The following is a 23,238-nucleotide window of genomic DNA, read 5'->3' as shown; positions in this document are numbered from 1 at the left end:
TAAGTCTCAGGAGATTTGATGATTTTAAAAAGAGGTGTTTCCCTGCACAAGCTCTCTTTGACTGCTGCCATCCATGTAAGATGTGACTTGCTCCTCCTTGCCTTCCTCCATGATTGTGAGGCTTCCCTGGCCATGTGGAAGTTTAAGTCCCTTAAACTCTTTTTCCTGTGTAAATTACCCAGTCTCAGGTATGTCTTCATCAGCAGCATGAAAATGGACTAATACAGTAAATTGGTACCAGGAATTAGGTGCTGCTGAAAAGATACCCAAAAATTTGGAAGCGGCTTTGGAACTGGGTAACAGGCAGAGGTTGGAAGAGTTTGGAGGGCTCAGAAGAAGACAGGAAAATGTGGGAAAGTTTGGAATCTTTTAGAGACTTGTTGAATGGCTTTGACTAAAATGCCAATAATGATATGGACAATGAAATCCAGGCTGAGATGGTCTCAGCTGGAGATGAGGAACTTGTTGGGAACTGGAGCAAAGGTGATTCTTGTTACATTTTAGCACAGAGACTGGTGGCATTTTGCCCCTGTCCTAGAGATTTTTGGAACTTTAAACTTGGGAGAGATGATTTAGGGGTATCTGGCAGAAGAAGTTTCTAAGCAGCAAAACATTCAAGAGATGACTTGGGTGCTGTCAAAGTCATTCAATTTTGAAAGAGAAACAGGGCATAAAAGTTTGGAAAATTTGCAGCCTGACAATGTGATAGAAAAGAAAATCCCATTTTTTTTCTGAGCAGAAATTCAAGCTGGCTGCAGAAATTTGCATAAGTAATGAGGAGCTGAATGTTAATCATTAAGACAATGGGGAAAGTGTCTCCAGGGCATGTCAGAGACCTTTGTGGCAGCCCCTCCCATCAGAGGCCTGGAGGCCTAGGAGGAAAAAATGATTTTGTGGGCTGAGCCCAAGGTTCCTGTGCTGTGTGCAGCCTAGGGACTTGGTGCCTTGCATCCCAGCCACTCCAGCTGTGGCCGAAAGGGACCAAAGTTGAGCTCAGGCCGTGGCTTCAGAGGATGCTAGCCTCAAGCCTTGGCAACTTCCATGTGGTGTTGACCCCGTTAGTGCACAGAAGTCAAGAATTGGGGTTTGGGAATCTCCACCTAGATTTCAGAGGATGTATGGAAATGCCTGGAAGTCCAGGAAGCAGTTTGCTGCAGGAATGGGGCCCTCTTGGAGAACCTTTGCTAGGGCAATGCAGAAGGGAAATGTGGGGTCAGAGCCTCCACACAGAGTCCCTACTGGGGCACTGCCAAGTGGAGCTGTGAGAAGAGGGCCACCATCCTCCAGACCCCAGAATGCTAGATCCACCAACACTTTGCACTGTGCACCTGGAAAAGCCACAGACATTCAATGCCAGCCCGTGAAAGCAGCTGGGAAGGAAGCTATACCCTGGAAAGCCACAAGGGCAGAGCTGTCCAAGACCATGGGAACCCACCTTTTGCATCAGTGTGACCCAGATGTGAGACACGGAGTCATAGGAGATCATTTTGGAGCTTTAAGATTTGACTGCCCTGCTGGATTTTGGACTTACATAGGGCCTATAGCCCCTTTGTTTTAGCCAATTTTTCCCATTTGGGATGGCAATATTTACCCAATTCCTGTACCCTCATTGTATCTGGGAAGTAACCAACTTGCCTTTGATTTTACAGGCTCATAGGTGGAAGGGACTAACCTTGTCTCAGATGAAACTTTGGACTGTGGACTTTGGGTTAATGCTGAAATGAGTTAAGACTTTGGGGGACTGTTGGGAAGGCATGATTGGTTTTGAAATGTCTGGACATGCGATTTTGGAGGGACCAGGGGCACAATTATATGGTTTGGCTGTGTCTCCACCCAAATCTCATCTTGAATTTCCATGTGTCGTGGGAGGGACCTGGTAGGAGATAATTGAATCATGGGGGGCAGGTCTTTCCTGTGCTGTTCTTGTGATAGTGAATAAGTCTTAGGAGATCTGATGATTTTAAAAAGAGGTGTTTCCCTGCACAAGCTCTCTTTGCCTGCTGCCATCCATGTAAGACGTGAGTTGCTCCTCCTTGCCTTCCTTCATTATTGTGAGGCATCCCCAGCCAGTGGAACTGTAAGTCCATTAAACCCCTTTTCCTGTATAAATTACCTAGTTTTGGGGTATGTCTTTATCAGCACGATGAAAACAGACTAATACAACCCCCTCCCCCATCTTACCAAGATTGAGTAGTTTTTTTTTTTTTGATAACTTCCAGTTTGTGTTTTGACCTCCATGTGTAATCATCTGAGGGGTTCTTCCTGCCCATTGCATAAAGAGAGACCATGAAATTGTAGCAGAGAAAGAGTTTAATAGACATGAGCTGGACATGTTATGTGCGAGATGAAGTTTGTACTCAAATAATCTCATTCAAAGCCCATATGTTAGGGGTTTTTCAAGGACAGTTTGGGAAAAGGGGTGGGGGTGGCCAGGTACCAGGTGCTTGCTGCTGATTGGCTGGGGCAGAGATGAAATCATGGGGGTCAAAGCTTTCCTCCTGCAGGCCAAATCACTTCTGGGTGGGGCTACAGGAGTGGGGTTGTCGGTTCAGGTAGAGCCATCAGGTCCAGGTGGAGACATGGGTGTCAGATATGCAAAAAATTCTGGAAAGATATCTCAAAAGGCCAATCTACCATAATGGTGTTATTTGCAAGAGTAATTGGTGAATTTGCATATCTTATAAGCTCTGGAATAATGTCTGCACCTTAGCAGGACTCAGGCTCCTCTCCTCCCTTTAGCCTGATGGCTTCCTATTAGCTTTACAAAAGCAGTTGAGTTTTGGGCAATGTCTATTATCATTTAAACTGTAGCCTGAATGTCTTCCAAAGTTAGCATGGCCCAATATGCCAGGAATAATAAAGGAAAGGCAAGATGGGGGTTAGCTTAGCTTAGTTTACTGTAATAATTTTTTCACTGATATAATTTCTGCAAAGGTGATTTTACATATAGTGAGGAATTGGCTTATGTGATTATGAAGGTTGAGTAATATCATGATCTGCTGTTTGCAAGTTGGAGACCTAGGACATCCAGTGGTATAATTCCAGTCTGAGTTCAAAGGCCTGAGAACCAGGGGAGCCAGTGGTATAAATTCCAGTCCAAGAGCAAAAGACCAATATTTCAGCTCAAGCAGGCAGGCAGGAAAAAAAAAGAGCATATTCCTTCATCTTCTGCCTTTTTGTTCTGTTCAGGACCTCAATGGATTGCATGATGCCCACCTGTATTGGGAAGGATAATTTACATTACTGAGTCCACCAATTCAAATGCTAATCTCATCTAGAAACACCCTTCCAGACACACCCAGAAATAATGTTTTATCTGAGCACTCTGTTGTGCAATTAAGTGAAAAACAAAATTAACCATGACAGTTGTTTGGCTCATATTTTTATTGTTTAGAGGTAGAGTAAATTCACAAAGCTCCTCGTTTTGTCATTTCAGAAGTAGGACCTTAATTATATAATCTTAAGACTTAAAATGTTTTCCTAAGGCTTTTGTGATAGCAAATAAAGTTTTGCACCACTTTTATAAATTTTTGAGGGAATCAGCAGACACCAAATGGTAAACCACTAATTTTTTTATCACCTCATTTTAGAAGATTATATAGATTGTACATTTATTAGTTAAGATTTCTCTATTTTTGGACATATGGGATTATATTAAATTAAAAAGCTTCACCGAAAAGGAAACAGTCAACGAAGTGAAGAGACAACCCACAGAATGAGAGAAAATATTTGCAACTATTCATCTAACAAGGGATTAGTTACCAGATTATATAAGGGACCCAAACAACTCTATAGGAAAAAATCTGATAATGCAGTTAAAAATGGGCAAACAATCTGAATAGACATTTCTCAAAAGAAGACATACAAATGGCAAACAGGTATATGAAAAGGTGCTCAACATAATTGATCATCAGAGAAATGCAAATCAAAACTTCAATGAGATATCATCTCACCTCAGTTAAAATGGCTTTTATCCAAAAGACAGGCAATTAACAAATGCTGCCAAGGATGTGAGGAAAAGGGAACCCTTGTACCCTGTTGGTGGGACTGTAAATTAGTACACCCACTATGGAGAAAGGTTTGGAGGTTCCTCAAAAAACTAAAAATAGCGCTACCTTATGATCCAGTAATCCCACTGCTAGGTATATACCCCAAAGCAAGGAAACCCAATGTATCAAAGAGATAGCTGCACTTTCATGTTTATTGCAGCACTATTTACAATAGCCAATATTTGGAAGCAACCTGAGGGATATGGTTTGGATTTGTGTCCTCACCCAAATCTCATATTGAATTGTAACCCCAATGTTCAAGGAGGGACCTGGTGTTGATGATTGAACCATGGGGATGGGCTTCTTCCTTACTGTTCTTGTGATAGTGACTGAGATCTGGTTATTTTAAAGTGTGTAGCACCTCCCCCTTTACTCTCTTCCTCCTGCTCCAGCCATGTAGGACATGTCTGCTTCCCCTTTGCCTTCCATCATGATTATAAGTTTCCTGAGGCCTCCCCAGCCATGTTTCCTGTACAGCCTATGGAACTGTGAGGCAATTAAACCTCTCTATAAATTACCCAGTGTTAGGTACTTCTTGATAGCAATGCGAGAATGAACTAATACAGAAAATTGGTACCTAAGAGTGGGGCATTGCTATAAAGATACCTGAAAATGTGGAAGCAACTTTGAAACTGGGTAACAGGCAAAAGTTAGAACATTTGGGAGGGCTCAGAAAAAGACAAGAAGATGAGGGAAAGTTTGGAACTTCCTAGAGACTTGTTAAACTATTGTAACCAAAATGCTGATAGTGAAAAGGACAAGGAAGTCCAGGCTGAGGTGGTCTCAGAAGGAAACGAGGAACTTATTGGGAACTGTAGCAAAGATCACTTTTGTTATGTGTTATCAAAGAGGTTGGAGGCATTGTGCCTCTGCCCTAGGGATCTGTGGAACTTTGACCTTGAGAAGGATGATTTAGGGCGTCTGGCGGAAGAAATTTCTAAGTGACAAAATGTTCAAGAGTGAACTGGCTACTTCTAGCAGCCTAGGCTTATATTTGTGAGCAAAGAAATGACCTGGAATTAGAACTTATATTTAAAAGGGTAACAGAGTATAAAAGTTTGGAAAATTTGCAGCTTGGCCATGTGGCAAAAAGGAAAAACCCATTTTCTGGGGACGAATTCAAGCTGGCTGCAGAAATTTGCATAAGTAAGGAGGAGACAAATGTCAATAGCCAAGACAATGGGGAAAATGCCTTGAAGGCATTTTAGATACCTTTGCAGCAGCCCCTCCCATCACAGGCCTGGAGGCTTAGGTTTCATGGGCCATGGGCTGGGCCCAGGGCCCTGCTGCCCTGTACCACATCAGGACACTGCTCCTTGCATCCTAGCTGCTCCAGCTCCAGCTGTAGCTAAAAGGGCCCCAGATATGTCTCAGGTCACTGCTTCAAAGGATGCAATCTGTAAGCCTTGGTGGTTTCCACATGGTGTTAAGCCTGTGGGTGTGCAGAGGCTAAGAGTTGAGGCTTGGGAACCTCCGCTTAGATTTCAGAGGACGTATGGAAATACCTGGATATCCAGACAGAAGTCTGCTGCAGGGGCAGAGCCCTCATGGAGAACCTCTACTAGGGCAGTGCAGAGGGGAAATGTGGGGTTTGAGACCTCACACAGAGTCCCCACTGGGGCACTGCCTAGTGGAGCTGTGAGAAGAGGGTCACCATCCTCCACACCCCAGAATGGTAGATCCATCGACAGCTTGCACCATGTGCCTAGAAAAGCTGCAGGCACTCCACCCTAGCCTCTGAAAGCAGTCATGGGGGCTGTACCTTGCAGAGCCACAGGGGTGGAGCTGCCCGAGGCCTTGGGAGCCCACCTGTTGCATCAACATGGCCTGGATGTGAGACAGGGAGTCAAAGGAGGTTATTTTGAAGCTTTAAGATTTAATGAGTGTCATCCTGGGTTTTGGACTTCCATGGGACCTGTAGCTCCTTTGTTTTGGCCAGTCTCTTCCTTTTGGAACAGGAGTATTTTTCCAATGCCCATATCCTCATTGTATCTTGTAAATAACTAACTGGTTTTGAGTTAGGGACTTGCCTTGTCTCAGATGAGACTTTGGACTGTGGACTTCTGAGTTAATGCTGGAATGAGTTAAGACTTTGGGGGACTATTGGGAAGGCATAATTGTATTATGAAATGGGAGAAGAAAATGAGATTTGGGAGGGGCCAGGGGTGGAATGATATGTTTTGTATTTCTGTCCCCACCCAAATCTCATGTCAAATTATAATCCCCAGTGTTAGAGGAGGTGCCTGGTGGGATGTAATTGGATCGTGGGGCAGACTTCTCTCTTGCTGTTCTCATGGTAGTGACATCTGAGAGACCTCATGAGATATGGTTGTTTAAAAGTGTGTAGCACCTCCCCCTTTGTTCTCTTCCTCCTTCTCTAGCCATGTAGGACATGTCTGCTTCCTCTTCACTTTCTGTCATGATTGTAAGTTTCCTGAGGCCTCCTCTGCCATGCTTTCTGTACATCCTGCAGAACTGTGAGCGAACTGAAGCTCTTTTCTTTATAAATTACCCAGACTCAGGTAGTTCTTTATAGCAATGTGAGAATGGACTAATACACTATGTGTTCATCAACAGATGAATGGATAAAGAAAATGCAGGACATATGGTGGGAGGAGCCAAGATGGCCGAATAGGAACAGCTCCGGTCTACAGCTCCCAGTGTGAGCGACACAGAAGACAGGTGATTTCTGCATTTCCATCTGAGGTACTGGGTTCATCTTACTAGGGAGTGCCAGACAGTGGGCGCAGGACAGTGGGTGCAGCGTACCATGCACGAGCCAAAGCAGGGCAAGGCATTGCCTCACTCGGGAAGCGCAAGGGGTCAGGGAGTTCCCTTTCCTGGTCAAGGAAAGGGGTGACAGACGGCACCTGGAAAATCGGGTCACTCCCACCCAAATACTGCGCTTTTCCAACAGGCTTAGGAAACGGCACACCAGGAGATTATATCCCGCACATGGCTCGGAGGGTCCTACGCCCACAGAGTCTCGCTGATTGCTAGCACAACACTCTGAGATCAAACTGCAAGGTGGCAGAGAGGCTGGGGGAGGGGCGCCCACCATTGCCCAGGCTTGCTTAAGTAAACAAAGCAGGCGGGAAGCTCGAGCTGGGTGGAGCCCACCACAGCTCAAGGAGGCCTGCCTGCCTCTGTAGGCTCCACCTCTGGGGGCAGGGCACAGACAAACAAAAAGACAGCAGTAGCCTCTGCAGTCTTAAATGTCCCTGTCTGACAGCTTTGAAGAGAGCAGTGGTTCTCCCAGTACGCAGCTTGAGATCTGAGAATGGGCAGACTGCCTCCTCAAGTGGGTCCCAGACCCCTGACCCCCGAGCAGCCTAACTGGGAGGCACCACCCAGTGGGGGCAGACTGACACCTCACACAGCTGGGTACTCCTCTGAGACAAAACTTCCAGAGGAACGATCAGACAGCAGCATTCGTGGTTCACGAAAATCCGCTGGTCTGCAGGCACCGCTGCTGATACCCAGGCAAACAGGGTCTGGAGTGGACCTCTAGCAAACTCCAACAGTCCTGCAGTTGAGGGTCCTGTCTGTTAGAAGGAAAACTAACAAACAGAAAGAACATCCACACCAAAAACCCATCTGTACATCACCATCATCAAAGACCAAAAGTAGATAAAACCACAAAGATGGGGAAACAACAGAGCAGAAAAACTGGAAACTCTAAAAAGCAGAGCGCCTCTCCTCCTCCAAAGGAACGCAGTTCCTCACCAGCAACCGAACAAAGCTGGACGGAGAATGACTTTGACGAGTTGAGAGAAGAAGGCTTCAGATGATCAAACTACTCCAACCTACAGGAGGAAATTCAAACCAAAGGCAAAGAAGTTGAAAACTTTGAAAAAAATTTAGATGAATATATGACTAGAATAACCAATACAGAGAAGTGCTTAAAGGAACTGATGGAGCTGAAAGCCGAGGCTCAAGAACTACGTGAAGAATGCAGAAGCCTCAGGAGCTGATGCGATCAACTGGAAGAAAGGGTATCAGTGATGGAAGATGAAATGAATGAAATGAAGCAAGAAGGGAAGTTTAGAGAAAAAAGAATAAAAAGAAACGAACAAAGCCTCCAAGAAATATGGGTCTATGTGGAAAGACCAAATCTACGTCTGATTGGTGTACCTGAAAGTGATGGGGAGAATGGAACCAAGTTGGAAAACACTCTGCAGGATATTATCCAGGAGAACTTCCCCAATCTAGCAAGGCAGGCCAACATTCAGATACAGGAAATACAGAGAACGCCATAAAGATACTCCTCGAGAAGAGCAACTCCAAGACACATAATTGTCAGATTCACCAAAGTTGAAATGAAGGAAAAAATGTTAAGGGCAGCCAGAGAAAAAGGTCGGGTTACCCACAAAGGGAAGCCCATCAGACTAATAGCGGATCTCTCGGCAGAAACTCTACAAGCCAGAAGAGAGTGGGGGCCAATATTCAACATTCTTAAAGAAAAGAATTTTCAACCCAGAATTTCATATCCAGCCAAACTAAGCTTCATAAGTGAAGGAGAAATAAAATACTTTACAGACAAGCAAATGCTGAGAGATTTTGTCACCACCAGGCCTGCCCTAAAAGAGCTCCTGAAGGAAGCACTAAACATGGAAAGGAACAACTGGTACCAGCCGCTGCAAAATCATGCCAAAATGTAAAGACCATCAAGACTAGGAAGAAACTGCATCAACTAATGAGCAAAATAACGAGCTAACATCATAATGACAGGACCAAATTCACACATAACAATATTAACTTTAAATGTAAATGGACTAAATGCTCCAATTAAAAGACACAGACTGGCAAATTGGATAAAGAGTGAAGACCCATCAGTGTGCTGTATTCAGGAAAGCCATCTCACGTGCAGAGACACACATAGGCTCAAAATAAAAGGGTGGAGGAAGATCTACCAAGCAAATGGAAAACAAAAAAAGGCAGGGGTTGTAATCCTAGTCTCTGATAAAACAGACTTTAAACCAACAAAGATCAAAAGAGACAAAGAAGGCCATTACATAATGCTAAAGGGATCAATTCAACAAGAAGAGCTAACTATCCTAAATATATATGCACCCAATACAGGAGCACCCAGATTCATAAAGCAAGTCCTGAGTGACCTACAAAGAGACTTAGACTCCCACACAATAATAATGGGAGACTTTAACACCCCACTGTCAACATTAGTCAGATCTACAAGACAGAAAGTTGACAAGGATACCCAGGAATTGAACTCAGCTCTGCACCAAGCGGACCTAATAGACATCTACAGAACTCTCCACCCCAAATCAACAGAATATACATTTTTTTCAGCACCACACCACACCTATTCCAAAATTGACCACATAGTTGGAAGTAAAGCTCTCCTCAACAAATGTGACAGAACAGAAATTATAACAAAGTGTCTCTCAGACCACAGTGCAATCAAACTAGAACTCAGGATTAAGAAACTCACTCAAAACCGCTCAACTACATGGAAACTGAACAACCTGCTCCTGAATGACTACTGGGTACATAACGAAGGGAAGGCAGAAATAAAGATGTTCTTTGAAACCAACGAGAACAAAGACACAACATACCAGAATCTCTGGGACACATTCAAAGCAGTGTGTAGAGGGAAATTTATAGCATTAAATGCCCACAAGAGAAAGCAGGAAAGATCCAAAATTGACACCCTAACATCACAATTAAAAGAACTAGACAAGCAAGAGCAAATACATTCAAAAGCTAGCAGAAGGCAAGAAATAACTAAGATCAGAGCAGAACTGAAGGAAATAGAGACACAAAAAACCCTTCAAAAAATTAATGAATCCAGGAGCTGGTTTTTCGAAAGGATCAACAAAATTCATAGACCACTAGCAAGACTAATAAAGAAAAAAAGAGAGAAGAATCAAATAGACGCAATAAAAAATGATAAAGGGGATATCACCACCGATCCCTCAGAATTACAAACTACCATCAGAGAATACTACAAACACCTCTACGCAAATAAACTAGAAAATCTAGAAGAAATGGATAAATTCCTCGACACATACACTCTCCGAAGACTAAACCAGGAAGAAGTTGAATCTCTGAATAGACCAATAACAGGATCTGAAATTGTGGCAATAATCAATAGCTTACCAACCAAAAAGAGTCCAGGACCAGATGGATTCACAGCCGAATTCTACCAGAGGTACAAGGAGGAACTGGTACCATTCCTTCTGAAACTATTCCAATCAATAGAAAAAGAGGGAATCCTCCCTAACTCATTTTATGAGGCCAGCATCATCCTGATACCAAAGCCGGGCAGAGACACAACCAAAAAAGAGAATTTTAGACCAATATCCTTGATGAACATTGATGCAAAAATCCTCAATAAAATACTGGCAAACTGAATCCAGCAGCACATCAAAAAGCTTATCCACCATGATCAAGTGGGCTTCATCCCTGGGATGCAAGGCTGGTTCAATATATGCAAATCAATAAATGTAATCCAGCATATAAACAGAACCAAAGACAAAAACCACATGAGTATCTCAATAGATGCAGAAAAAGCCTTTGACAAAATTCAACAACCCTTCATGCTAAAAACTCTCAATAAATTAGGTATTGATGGGACGTATCTCAAAATAATAAGAGCTATCTATGACAAACCCACAGCCAATATCATACTGAATGGGCAAAAGCTGGAAGCATTCCCTTTGAAAACTGGCACAAGACAGGGAGGCCCTCTCTCACCACTCCTATTCAACATAGTGTTGGAAGTTCTGGCCAGGGCAATCAGGCAGGAGAAGGAAATAAAGGGTATTCAATTAGGAAAAGAGGAAGTCAAATTGTCCCTGTTTGCAGATGACATGATTGTATATCTAGAAAACCCCATCGTCTCAGCCCAAAATCTCCTCAAGCTGATAAGCAACTTCAGCAAAGTCTCAGGATACAAAATCAATGTACAAAAATCACAAGCATTCTTATACACCAATAACAGACAAACAGAGAGCCAAATCATGAGTGAACTCCCATTCACAATTGCTTCAAAGAGAATAAAATACTTAGGAATCCAACTTACAAGAGATGTGAAGGACCTCTTCAAGGACAACTACAAACCACTGCTCAAGGAAATAAAAGAGGATATAAACAAATGGAAGAACATTCCATGCTCATGGGTAGGAAGAATCAATATCGTGAAAATGGCCATACTGCCCAAGGTAATTTATAGATTCAATGTCATCCCCATCAAGCTACCAATGACTTTCTTCACAGAATTGGAAAAAACTACTTTAAAGTTCATATGGAACCAAAAAAGAGCCCGCATTGCCAAGTCAATCCTAAGCCAAAAGAATAAAGCTGGAGGCATCACACTACCTGACTTCAAACTATACTACAAGGCTACAGTAACCAAAACAGCATGGTACTGGTACCAAAACAGAGATATAGATCAATGGAACAGAACAGAGCCCTCAGAAATAACGCCGCATATCTACAACTATCTGATCTTTGACAAACCTGAGAAAAACAAGCAATGGGGAAAGGATTCCCTATTTAATAAATGGTGCTGGGAAAACTGGCTAGCCATATGTAGAAAGCTGAAACTGGATCCCTTCCTTACACCTTATAGAAAAATTAATTCAAGGTGGATTAAAGACTTAAATGTTAGACCTAAAACCATAAAAACCCTAGAAGAAAACCTAGGCATTACCATTCAGGACATAGGCATGGGCAAGAGCTTCATGTCTAAAACACCAAAAGCAATGGCAACAAAAGCCAAAATTGACAAATGGGATCTAATTAAACTAAAGAGCTTCTGCACAGCAAAAGAAACTACCATCAGAGTGAACAGGCAACCTACAGAATGGGAGAAAATTTTCGCAACCTACTCACCTGACAAAGGGCTAATATCCAGAATCTACAATGAACTCAAACAAATTTACAAGAAAAAAACAAACAACCCCATCAAAAAGTGGGTGAAGGATATGAACAGACACTTCTCAAAAGAAGACATTTATGCAGCCAAAAGACATATGAAAAATGCTCATCATCACTGGCCATCAGAGAAATGCAAATCAAAACCACAATGAGATACCATCTCACACCAGTTAGAATGGTGATCATTGAAGAGTCAGGAAACAACAGGTGCTGGAGAGGATGTGGAGAAATAGGAACACTTTTACACTGTTGGTGGGACTGTAAACTAGTTCAACCATTGTGGAAGTCAGTGTGGTGATTCCTCAGGGATCTAGAACAAGAAATACTATTTGACCCAGCCATCCCATTACTGAGTATATACCCAAAGGACTATAAATCATGCTGCTATAAAGACACATGCACACGTATGTTGATTGTGGCACTATTTACAATAGCAAAGACTTGGAACCAACCCAAATGTCCAACAATGATAGACTGGTTTAAGAAAATGTGAACCATATACACCATAGAATACTATGCAGCCATAAAAAATGATGAGTTCATGTCCTTTGTAGGGACATGGATGAAATTGGAAATCATCATTCTCAGTAAACTATCTCAAGGACAAAAAACCAAACACTGCATGTTCTCACTCATAGGTGGGAATTGAACAATGAGAACACATGGACACAGGAAGGGGAACATCACACTGTGGGGACTGTTGTGGGGTGGGAGGAGGGGGGAGGGATAGCATTAGGAGATATACCTGATGCTAAACGACGAGTTAATGGGTGCAGCACACCAGCATGGCTCATGTATACATATGTAACTAACCCGCACGTTGTGCACATGTACCCTAAAACTTGAAGTGTAATAATAATAAAAAAAAATGTGGGACATGTATACAATGGAGTACTATTCAGCCATAAAAAAGAATGAAGTCCTGTTATTTTTGACAACATGGATGGAACTGTAGGTCATTATGTCAGGTGAAGTAAACCAGGCAGAGAAAAGCAAATTTCTTACTTATTTGTGGGAGCTAGAAACGAAAACAATTGAACTTGTGGAGATAGAGGGTATAAAAATGGTTACCAGAGGCTGGGAAGGGTAGTGGGAAGTTCGGGGGGAAATGGTGATGGTTAATGGGTACAAAAAATAGTTAGAAAGAATGAATAAAACCTACTATTTGATAGTATAACTGGGTGACTATAGTCAATAACAATTTAATTGCATCCTTAAAAACAACTAAAAAAGTATAAATGGATTGTTTGAAACACAAAGGATAAATGCTTGAGGTGATGGATATGCCATCTACCATGATGTTATTATTGTACATTGTATGCCTGTATCAAAATATCTCATATATCCCATAAATAAATCAAGAGGATGCAGGGAATTATGGCAGACATACCTCTTAACGTGGATCCTTAAATGTGTGATCCCTTTGCTCTATATATGTTTTGCATTCAATATGTTTGTAATATGACAAATAAGTATGAACCAATTTTTTGCCTCCGTGTAGAAAGAGATCCAGAAAGCTTGTTGGTTGGGGTTCAAGGGGAGTATAAAAAAGAAAAGAAGTATAATTTAATTTTTGGAGTAAGAAAGGGCAAAAAGGGACCTTAACTAAAGTGAGAGAGAATTTAGCCCTATTTTGTGGTGGTAGGCCAAAGGAATCTAGGCTGAGAAAGACCTGGATATGGGCATTGGGAGTGCTCATCCAGATTGAGGAAAAAAATCAGTAAATGCCATCTTGCAAGCTAAAGGACTTCATGTATGGTATGTGTGGTTTCCTAATCTGAAAGAGCTTGTAACTTTTTTACTCCTCACCATTTATGTCAGAGGAAGTTTTAAATTACTAAAGAAAATTGGATAAGTGTGTTACTGTTTTGATAAGTTGTGACTGATGCAGGTGACCTACTACAAGGAGTAATATAGGAGATAAAGAAGGTCAAAGTCTCTGGATGGTTGCAGCCATGGTGGAAAAGTAGTATCCATTCTATTACCCTGATCCATCTTGATACAACTGTGGGTAATCCCATACAGATCTAGTTTGGGGTAGCTTTAGTTAATCCATTCTCCTATTAAAGTTTCTGTGTGATTAATTGGTCTGATGAAATGGTTTCCATCCTAATATTTTGTTATGGCTCCAAATCCTGTACCCAAGAAGGTTTTCCTAAAATAAACTATTTAAAAATTTTAAAAAATGAAATACATATAATGTTATGATGACATAAAGTCTCTCTTCCCCTGTTCTCACCTTCCTCAGGCAAGAAGAATAAATGTCTCTGGTGGAACTTTTGCTCTGGTGGAACTGCTTTTCTAGAACTGGTTAGTGACTTGACATTGGAAAAGTTTTATTACTATTAGTGGTTATTATCTCTTATGGCCTGGCTGAGTGAAAGGCTTTTTGTGATACTAACTTCTATGTATATTCTCCTACTACTAAAAAAAATCTTCCATTTCTAAGTCCTGGGAAAAATCATTTTTTCTTTCAAAAAATATTTATTGAGCCCTTGCTATGTGTCAGGCACTGTGGATTCAATAAGAAATAAGACAGAATTCTTAACGTTGAGAATGCATATGCTGGAGGGTGACTCTGATAAGAAAATAAGCAATGCAATTATAACACACTGTGTTAAGAGCTATGATGGGAGAAGTATAAACAGCTATTGGTGCCTGTAGAAGAAGCACATAACCCAAAGCTGAAGGGTAAGGAGAAGTGACATAAATATAGTAAAATGTATAGTCAGTTTGTTGTTCTAAGGCCTTTGGAGTGCTGGAGTTCAGTTGCAGCTACAACATTTACTAGTTCTGTTTCCTTATACAAGTTTCATAACCTTTTAAAGGTTCAATTTTCTTATATTTAAAATAGAGACAATAATACCACTCACTTCATTGGCTAGCTGTGAAAATAAATGAGTTAATACATAGAAATTGCTTAGCACAGTGCTTTTGTAAATAATAAAAAATGGAAGCTTATTATTACTATGCTGAGAGCTGAAGGGTTATTAAGATTTAAGAAGTGAATGGGAGTGATCAGTGTCAGGAGAAGCCTATTCCAGGCAAAGAGAAGAACATATTACATGCTTGGAGGCATAGCAGATTACGGGGAGTTTGAATAACTAAAAGAAATTCGATATGTTGTAATATTGAGTGTGAAGGGGCTGGGTAATAATAGATGAGGCAGGAGAGGTAGATAGGGGACATATAGAGATGTTTAGCTTTTATTCCAAGAATATGCAGAGTCATCAAATGATTTCTTGCAGGGTATTGACAAAATTAGACTTGCACTTTAGATCATGCTGGTTGTAATTGGCAAAAATGGATTGAGGAGGGGATTGGAAATTGGGCGACTAAGATGACCTTATTATAGAAATTTCTATTTTAAAAATGGCTAAGTAAATACGGTACTGTCCTCCTATTCTCTCAGAAATCAATCCAAGGTAAGAACAAAAAACAGAAATGTAAATTTCATCTTTTTAAAAAAACTAGATGAAACCTATAAACCTTAGCCACAATATATGAGGGGGCATTACCAAGAGCAGTTATGGGTGAAGAGGAGTATTGGCAGATACAGTTAGGTGCTGCTTGCATCTGTATAACTCAAGCAAAACTGGGGAAATACCCAACAATTCCTTATTTGGAATTATGGGAAGATGGTAGTGGAAGTCTCCTTAACCCACTCAAGTCAATACTAGTAAGAAGCAGGATTGGTAGGAATGAGGGAAAAATCACACTAATAGGCCATATCTGAGTTTTACATTTTATTTCATTAGTGGTACAGGGTGGACCAAAGAGACTCTGCATTGGATACAGCCCTATAGCAACTGATCTTTGATGACTTTGGAGAAGTAAAAAGAAAAAAGAAACTTTTACGCATAACCTTGTGTCATAAGAAACATAACTGTTAACTGGGAAGAATTTCTGCTAATCCAGAAATTCTTGGCTTAGCAGAAAGGAAGATCTTAGCTCCTTCCTCTTATAAACCTCCTGCCAGTAGTGATCATAAGAAAAACTCATCACATTCAAACATGAGCAGTAGTCAAAGAGGAATTAACACAGGATTTGTATAAGTATAAAAAAAAAAAGAAGGAAAGGAACAGTAGACACCAAAACAAGCAGAGAAAGAAAAACTCATCAGAAAAAAAGTTGTCATAGATCACATAAAAATTTTGGGCCGGGCGCGGCGGCTCACGCCTGTAATCCCAGCATTTTGGGAGGCCGAGGTGGGCGGATCAAGAGGTCAGGAGATCGAGACCATCCTGGCTAACACGGTGAAACCCTGTCTCTACTAAAAATACAAAAAATTAGCCAGTCATGGTGGCGGACACCTGTAGTCCCAGCTACTTGGGAGACTGAGGCAGGAGAATGGCATGAACCCGGGAGGCGGAGCTTGCAGTGAGCTGAGATTGCGCCATTGCATTCCAGCCTGGGCGACAGAGCGAGACTCCAACTCAAAAAAAAAAAAAAAAAATTGGCCAAGTATGAATTAAAATATAAAACAAAACAACAAACCTTAATTATGCACTCCTTCTGTAAATATGAACTCAAAACGAAGAACTCCAACGGCTCAGAGAAGACATACTAAGACCACAGAGGGACTTGACAAATGAGCTCAGGGAAGAAATGGAGAATTAAAAAACTATTATAGGAATGAAGGTCTTATTGGAAGAAGCCGAAAGAAAACTAGATATAACTTAAAACACTTTGGAGATGTGGGAGATGGAATGAAGAAAAGCAAGAAAAATGAAACAGAATCCACAAAAAATTTAGAAGTATTAGGGACAAAAATAATTGATAGGAAAGATGAGGAGGTCCAATATATAACAATGAGTATAGATTCAATGGACTAGATGCAATATTTGAATATATAATTCAAAAATATTTTCTAGAAACAAAAAATGTCTTGGATATAAGTATGGAAATGGTATTCTGTAGCCTAGGAAAACTTGACATGGAATTGTTAACATTTATGTTATGTTCAAACAAAATTACTGTTCCTCAAAGATTAAGACTCTTTTATGCAACTAGGCAAAACAGTCTAATTTCATGTAAGAAAAAAAATTCAGACTGGCTCAGACCTCCACAGCAGCAATCAATGCTAGGAAACAATGGAATAATGCTTAAAATTCCTTAAGGAGAGAAAGTGTGGACTCCAGAAATGCATTTCCAGATGTTATCCTTTTAGTGAAAAGATAGCAGACATCTCTGAATATGCAAAAACCCAGAGAATATAATTCCATGAATTTTTATAGCAGATGGAAAACCTCAACAACCACAGATAAATGGAGAAATTATGGCAAAAGGAGTGGCAGTGATGTACCAGTATGATTAAATGTGGAATTAAGGTGAAAATAAACATGGAGGTTACAGTTAGAAAGGAATCTGTTTTATAAACTCTGACAAAGTGGAAATAATAGAACAAACAAAAGATGGAAGGGGAAGAAAAAATGGGAGGTAGTGTAAGCACTTTTTATAATTAGAAGCTAAAATTATTTAAAATATAGATGAAGTAATTGAAAGTACATGTATTTAAAACTTTAAAGACAAGTACTAAGATAAATCTTATAATTCACTAACATTAGATGCTGGAGTAAGAAGAAAGTGAAAATGAAATGGAAATAGACTAATTTATTTAATCATTGTTGATACTGTGGAGTCAATAGATACCGTCCAGTGAAACAGAGAATTAAATGTGTTATACATTTAGGGTTAGCCCACAGATATATTTGCAAATGTGAGAAATTAGGTATATGAAAAGATGTTTATGGCAACATGATTTGTAAAAGCCAAGAACTGTGAATCAAGGAAGTTCCCATTAATTGGAACCAGTGAAATAAATTATGGTATATCCATTCAGTATAGCTCAGGGGAAGGAAGGATACATTTTATTGTATACCTTTTGGTAATTTAACATTTTTTGTGCCATGTCTGTATATGCTTTACTTTTTTTGTTTTTTGAGATGGTGTTTTGCTCCTGTTGCCCAGGCTGGAGTGCGGGATGGGATGATCTCGGCTCATTGCAACTTCTACCTCCCAGATTCAAGTGATTCTCCTGCCTCAGCCTCCCTAGTATCTGGGACTACAGACATGCGCCACCACGCTTGGCTAATTTTGTATTTTTAGTAGAGACAGGGTTTCTCCATGTTGGTCAGGCTGGCCTTGAACTCCCGACCTCAGGTAATCTGCCCACCTTGGCCTCCCAAAGTGCTGGGATTACAGGTGTGAGCCACCGCACCCGGCCTGCTTTACTTTTTAAAATAACATTTTTTAGTTTTAAAAGTAAATTTGTAAAAAGAGGCTATTTAAATCATTTGTATTAGAAATGATGATAGCCCGTGTTAGACAAATGGCAGTGGCACGGAGAGAAGTGGATGGATTGGAAGTATTATCAGTCAGATTTGGTGTTAGAATGATGAGTAGTGAGGAAGAGAAAGGAGTTGAAGACAACATCTATGTTTCTTCTAGTTTGGGTAACTGGATAGATGGAGGTGGCATTCCACAAGATGGGATATACTGATTCCCCATGGATCTGTCCTCAGGATTCATCCCTCATCTCCCTCTGTAGAATTCTGTTATGTCATCCCATTCCATGACTTTCGATTTACATATTTGTGAACAGTTTCCATATCTTTCATAAACTCTAGACTACCTGGTTATCAGATGCCCCCTGGATGTAACTTATATCACTTATCCTTGACTAATCACAAGACCCAAGATCATACACTTTAGATCTAAAATGAACCTTAGAAACGTCTCATGGTCCAGCCCTTTTATTTTACCAATGAAAAGCCTAAGACACAGATTATGTGACTTTTGGATTTTTCTTGTAAATTTAAATAAGTTGAAGTATGAAGTTACATATTTTTGATCTCCCTACTCCTTATTTAAATGATAATAAACTAAAACATTTCTAAGCAGTGAATAGTAGATCAATTTTGTCCTTTAACCACATGTGGCAAGTAGGCAACGTATGGGAATTAATGACAAATTGTCATCATCTCTGTGATCTCTGCCACACTGGCTTCAAAATATTTCTACCTGCCTAGACTCAAAGCCTCAGGGACTTCTTTATTCTCTTATTCTAAGGATCTTCTCTTATCCAACACTCCACATCAACCCACTGTTGAGTGATTTTTGTTCTTTTTCTGAAACATCTTATATCTGTGTCTTTTTCTCTATTGCCATTGTTACAGCTGTGGTTTACATTTTCATCTCTGGATGATATCAGTGGCCTTCAAACTGACCTCCTTGACTTTAGGCTTTCTCTTTTTCAGTTTGTCTTTGAAACTGCAGTAGTTTCTCCTTATCCATGCTTTTGCTTTCTGCAGTTTCAGTTACCCACAATTGCAGTCTAAAAATATTAAATGGAAAATTCCAGAAATAAACAATTTATATTTTAAGTTGCATGAAGCTCTGAGTAGCATAATGAAATCTCATGTCATCCCGTTCTGTCTTACCCAGGATGTGAATCATTCCTTTGCCCAGCGTATCCTCACTGTACACTCTGCCTGCCCATTAGTTTCTTAGTAATTGTCTCAGTTATCAGATTGAGAAAGTACAGTGTACATTGGGTTCAATACTACCCAGAGTTTCAGGCATCTACTGCTGCTCTTGGAATGTATCCCCAGTGGATAAGAAGGGACTAATATACAGCAAAATGTTTTTCTAAAACCATGGATCTTACTGCAACCTCTTGTAAAATGTTCAATAACTTTTCAAAACAGATAGATCAAAGTCCAGATTTCTTGATGGCATTCAAGGCCCTCCATGATTTCTAACCAGCCCTTGTGTCTGATTTGATTTCTGAATACACTTGCCACTGCAGCTATACCTGACTAGTCATCTTTTCCAAAATTCAAGCTGTAATTTTCTACTCATGTGTAGTAGTTTACCTTTTTCCATCTATGTGAAGTAACTTTTCTCTTATTTTTTTGTTGATGATTTAAGTATCCTTAAAGAGCTCATTCATCTACCATTTACTTTGGGAAGCATTCCTAGAGCAAACTTTCTTTCCCTGTACTCCCATGTCTCTGAATTTGTACCACCAATAGAATTATGTTCTCACAGTTTGCTTTCCATTCTACTTAGTGGTATTGTGTCCATGTACCTTCCCTCATGCAGAGATAATGTATTTTTCATTTTGATATACTACACTAACCTTCCCTTTCCCAGTTTTTGCCCATTCTCAGTGCTCAGAAAATTTTCTGGATTGAATTGAGAACTCTTTGTGACTCCTCTGCAGAACTTCAGTAATCTGAAATTGGATTAAAAACTGAGGTTAGACACCAGAGGGATTATCCGCAAACATTGAAGTAATAGTGGAACAAAAGTACCCTTGAAATTTGTTATACTTCTAAATGTCATTCTGCACCTGTGACCTTTTTTTCCCCAATTTTCATATCTTATTTATTTTGCAATTTGTTATAATTGGGGCATATTTTAAAAAGTGAAACATTATACTTAATATGACTGATTTCCCAAAGGGAGTAGGTTAGGAATGCAAAGAATTTGTTACCTGAGATAATAATGCAAGTTTTGAAACTTTTTTTCTGAAAACATGTGAGACAGAGTAGAAAAGTTATTTTGATTTTTAAAAAATATATGCCAGCCAATTGAGGACATCACCTTTGTGTGCTTTACGTTTTCTCCCACTAGAGAGCAGCAAAGATTCATAATTGACTCAGGCAACAGCTAAAAATGCTTTGGGATTACTTTTGAAATATAGTTTCCAATGCTAAATTGCACAAAATGCCTTTTCCATTAATTTAAAAAACATATTTTATTGACTTTCTGGCCAAGTGGAAACTAATCCGTAGTAAAGGCTTTTAAGTTTAGTAAAGCAAATTGTGCTATATGGCAGAACAATTTTCTTACCTTGGTTTTTGGCTTCATTTCTTATTTCATTTATTCATACAGCAAATGTGTTAATCTCTATTGTGCTAGGCACTATGCTGTTCTTGAGGGTACAAAACTGAATAAGATATAGTCCCTGCTTCAGAGAACCCTGTTTCATGAAAAAAATTGTTTTAGTATTTCTATGCTAAATACAATGGAGTATGCAAATATGTTATAAGACATAGTAACACATAGCATGCGTTGAATGCTTACAATATGTTAGGCACTGCTCTAAGTGTTTTGCTTCCACTATATCACTTATTATTCACACTCTAAGAAGAAAGAATTAGTATTCCCATTTTACAGGCAGGAAACAGAGGCACAAAAAAGGTTAAGTAATCTGCCACACATCACATGACATATAAATGATGGAGTCAGCATTTTAACTAAGGCAGTTTTAATACACCTGCATACTTCATCACTGTACTATACTGTTTCCCACATAAGCTTTGTTCTCCAAAAGAAAACCAAATTGGCTCGGTGCGGTGGCTCACACCTTTAATCCCAGCACTTTGGGAGGCTGAGGTGTGAGGATTGCCTGAGCTCAGGAGTTGGAGGCCTGGGCAACATGGCAAGACCCTGTCTCTAAAAAAAAAAAAAAAAAAAAAAAAAAAAATTAGCTGAATGTGGTGGCATGTGCCTGTAGTCCTAGCTACTTGGGAGGCTGAGGTGGGAGGATCGCTTGAACCTGGGAGATTGAAGCTGCAGTAAGCTGTGTTTGCACCACTGCACTCCAGCCTGGGTGACAGAGCAAGACCTTGTCTCAAAAAAAACCAATCTCATATGGAGAAATGAGACATCTTGGAAAAATAAACAGCATCATCGAAGTAAGTGCTTTCTCTTGAGGTTTGTAATGGAGTCTCAATAAAGGTACTCTCCTTTTCCACCTGGATTCTTGAACAGTTTGAGGAATAAAACAAAAGAGTTGGGTGATGGGGTCAAAATATCACCCTCTGATAGAGGCCAAACTGGAGGATTTGTTAGCCAAATGACACCAAGTCCCCAAGTTAGCAGGCTCTCTCTCTCTACCTCGCCACCTCAGGAAGGCCAGGTTTGGGGTGAACCTCACCCCCAACCTGTGCTTGCTGGGGTAGATTCCCTGGAGGAGTAGTGAAATGTGTGCTCTCCATAAGCAGTTTGCTCCCCAGAGGAAAAATGGGAGGTTCTGAGCCAAGCATGCCAAATTTACTCTTCCTAAGTTTACCAATAAGATAAACCATTTCATCTCCTGTGAGCAGAGAGATGCCATAATTATAGTTACCGAGCTCCTCCAGGGAAGGAAACATCAGAAGTAGTGGAGATGATGCATTCCTCCCTAATATTTCCTAACTTCTGACAGTGATTTCCTTTTTTTTGAGAAACGTATTATGGCAGACAAAATAGGGGCTCCCAAAGATGTCTGCATTCTAGTCGTGGAGCTTGTAAATGTCGTTACATGGCCAAAGGAAATTAAGGTTGTAGATGAAATTAAGTTCACTAACCATCTGACTTTAAAATAGGAGATTATCCTGGATTATCTAGGTGGATCCAGTGTAATAAATCTTAAAAGTAGAAGAGAGATGTGGAAGAATAATCAAGATGGCAGCATGAGAAAAACTTGGTACCAAAAGTATGAGAAAGAGCCGTTATAACAAAATTTTTTCTTACAAACATGGGAACTTCTAGTCCAGAAGAAGGGATGGTATGCATTACAAGAAGTAGAGCTCAGTGTCTTAAAAGCTAGAAACTCTTGGCCACCCTTTTTGCCTAAGGCTCTAAAAGATGAAATTGGGCCTGCAAGAGAGAGAAAGTTACTATTTGTATAAGCCAATAAAGGTCTGTGTTATTGTTTGTTTCCCCTTTGATACGCCTTGGCATTTAGTAAAGTCATGTTTGAATTTCTAGTCTTTTCCCACTGTGCCACTGGACATAAAGAAAAGGTGCACTTTCACAGCATCGGGTAGAGAGTTAAATACAAAGTAGCACAACTTCACAACCTAGAGGCAAATATGATGAAGGCATTAGTAATCTGCAAGAAGATTCAGAGGAGTGGAAAGAGTCTCAGACAGGATGAAGTAGTGTAGTTCAGTTGCTTTTCTCCATTTGAAGATTCCTCGGCATTTCTGGACTGTATTATTATTAATATAGATTGCATTTCATTTTAAGAATTTATAACCATATATATGTATATGGCTGTATATGTGTGTATATATACACATGTATATATGTGTGTGCATTATATATATGTATGTATATGTGTGTGTGTATATATATATTCTACTTGAAGTCAGAGCCATGTTTCCCACTTCCACATGTATGTCCAAAAGCCTGGGCCATAAGGGGTAGACCAGTTAATAAAGACTTGAGGGTGAGTATGCCCACCAGTAGGTACCCTCCCATCAAGAAGAGTGCTTGAAAGCCAAGTCAC

The 23,238-nt window shown here is 40.2% G+C and overlaps 1 protein-coding gene across 3 annotated transcripts in view; it reads left to right on the top strand.

Annotated features, from left to right (window-relative positions):
- The window catches only part of IGSF11 (immunoglobulin superfamily member 11), a 245,464-nt gene that overhangs the window by 26,616 nt on the left and 195,610 nt on the right, over nucleotides 1-23,238 (top strand). For 2 of the 3 annotated variants that reach the window (NM_001353322.2, NM_152538.4), the window contains exons 2-3: nucleotides 6,627-6,755; nucleotides 14,200-14,261. In NM_001353322.2, the coding sequence (NP_001340251.1) occupies nucleotides 14,213-14,261 (49 nt within the window). In that variant the 5' untranslated portion in view covers nucleotides 6,627-6,755; nucleotides 14,200-14,212. The remainder of the gene's footprint in view (nucleotides 1-6,626; nucleotides 6,756-14,199; nucleotides 14,262-23,238) is intronic. The other variant, NM_001353320.2, reaches the window with a different exon arrangement.

This window comes from Homo sapiens, chromosome 3, assembly GCF_000001405.40.
Source record: "Homo sapiens chromosome 3, GRCh38.p14 Primary Assembly".
Lineage (NCBI taxonomy): Eukaryota > Metazoa > Chordata > Mammalia > Primates > Hominidae > Homo > Homo sapiens.
This window is presented reverse-complemented; position numbering and strand designations above follow the sequence as displayed.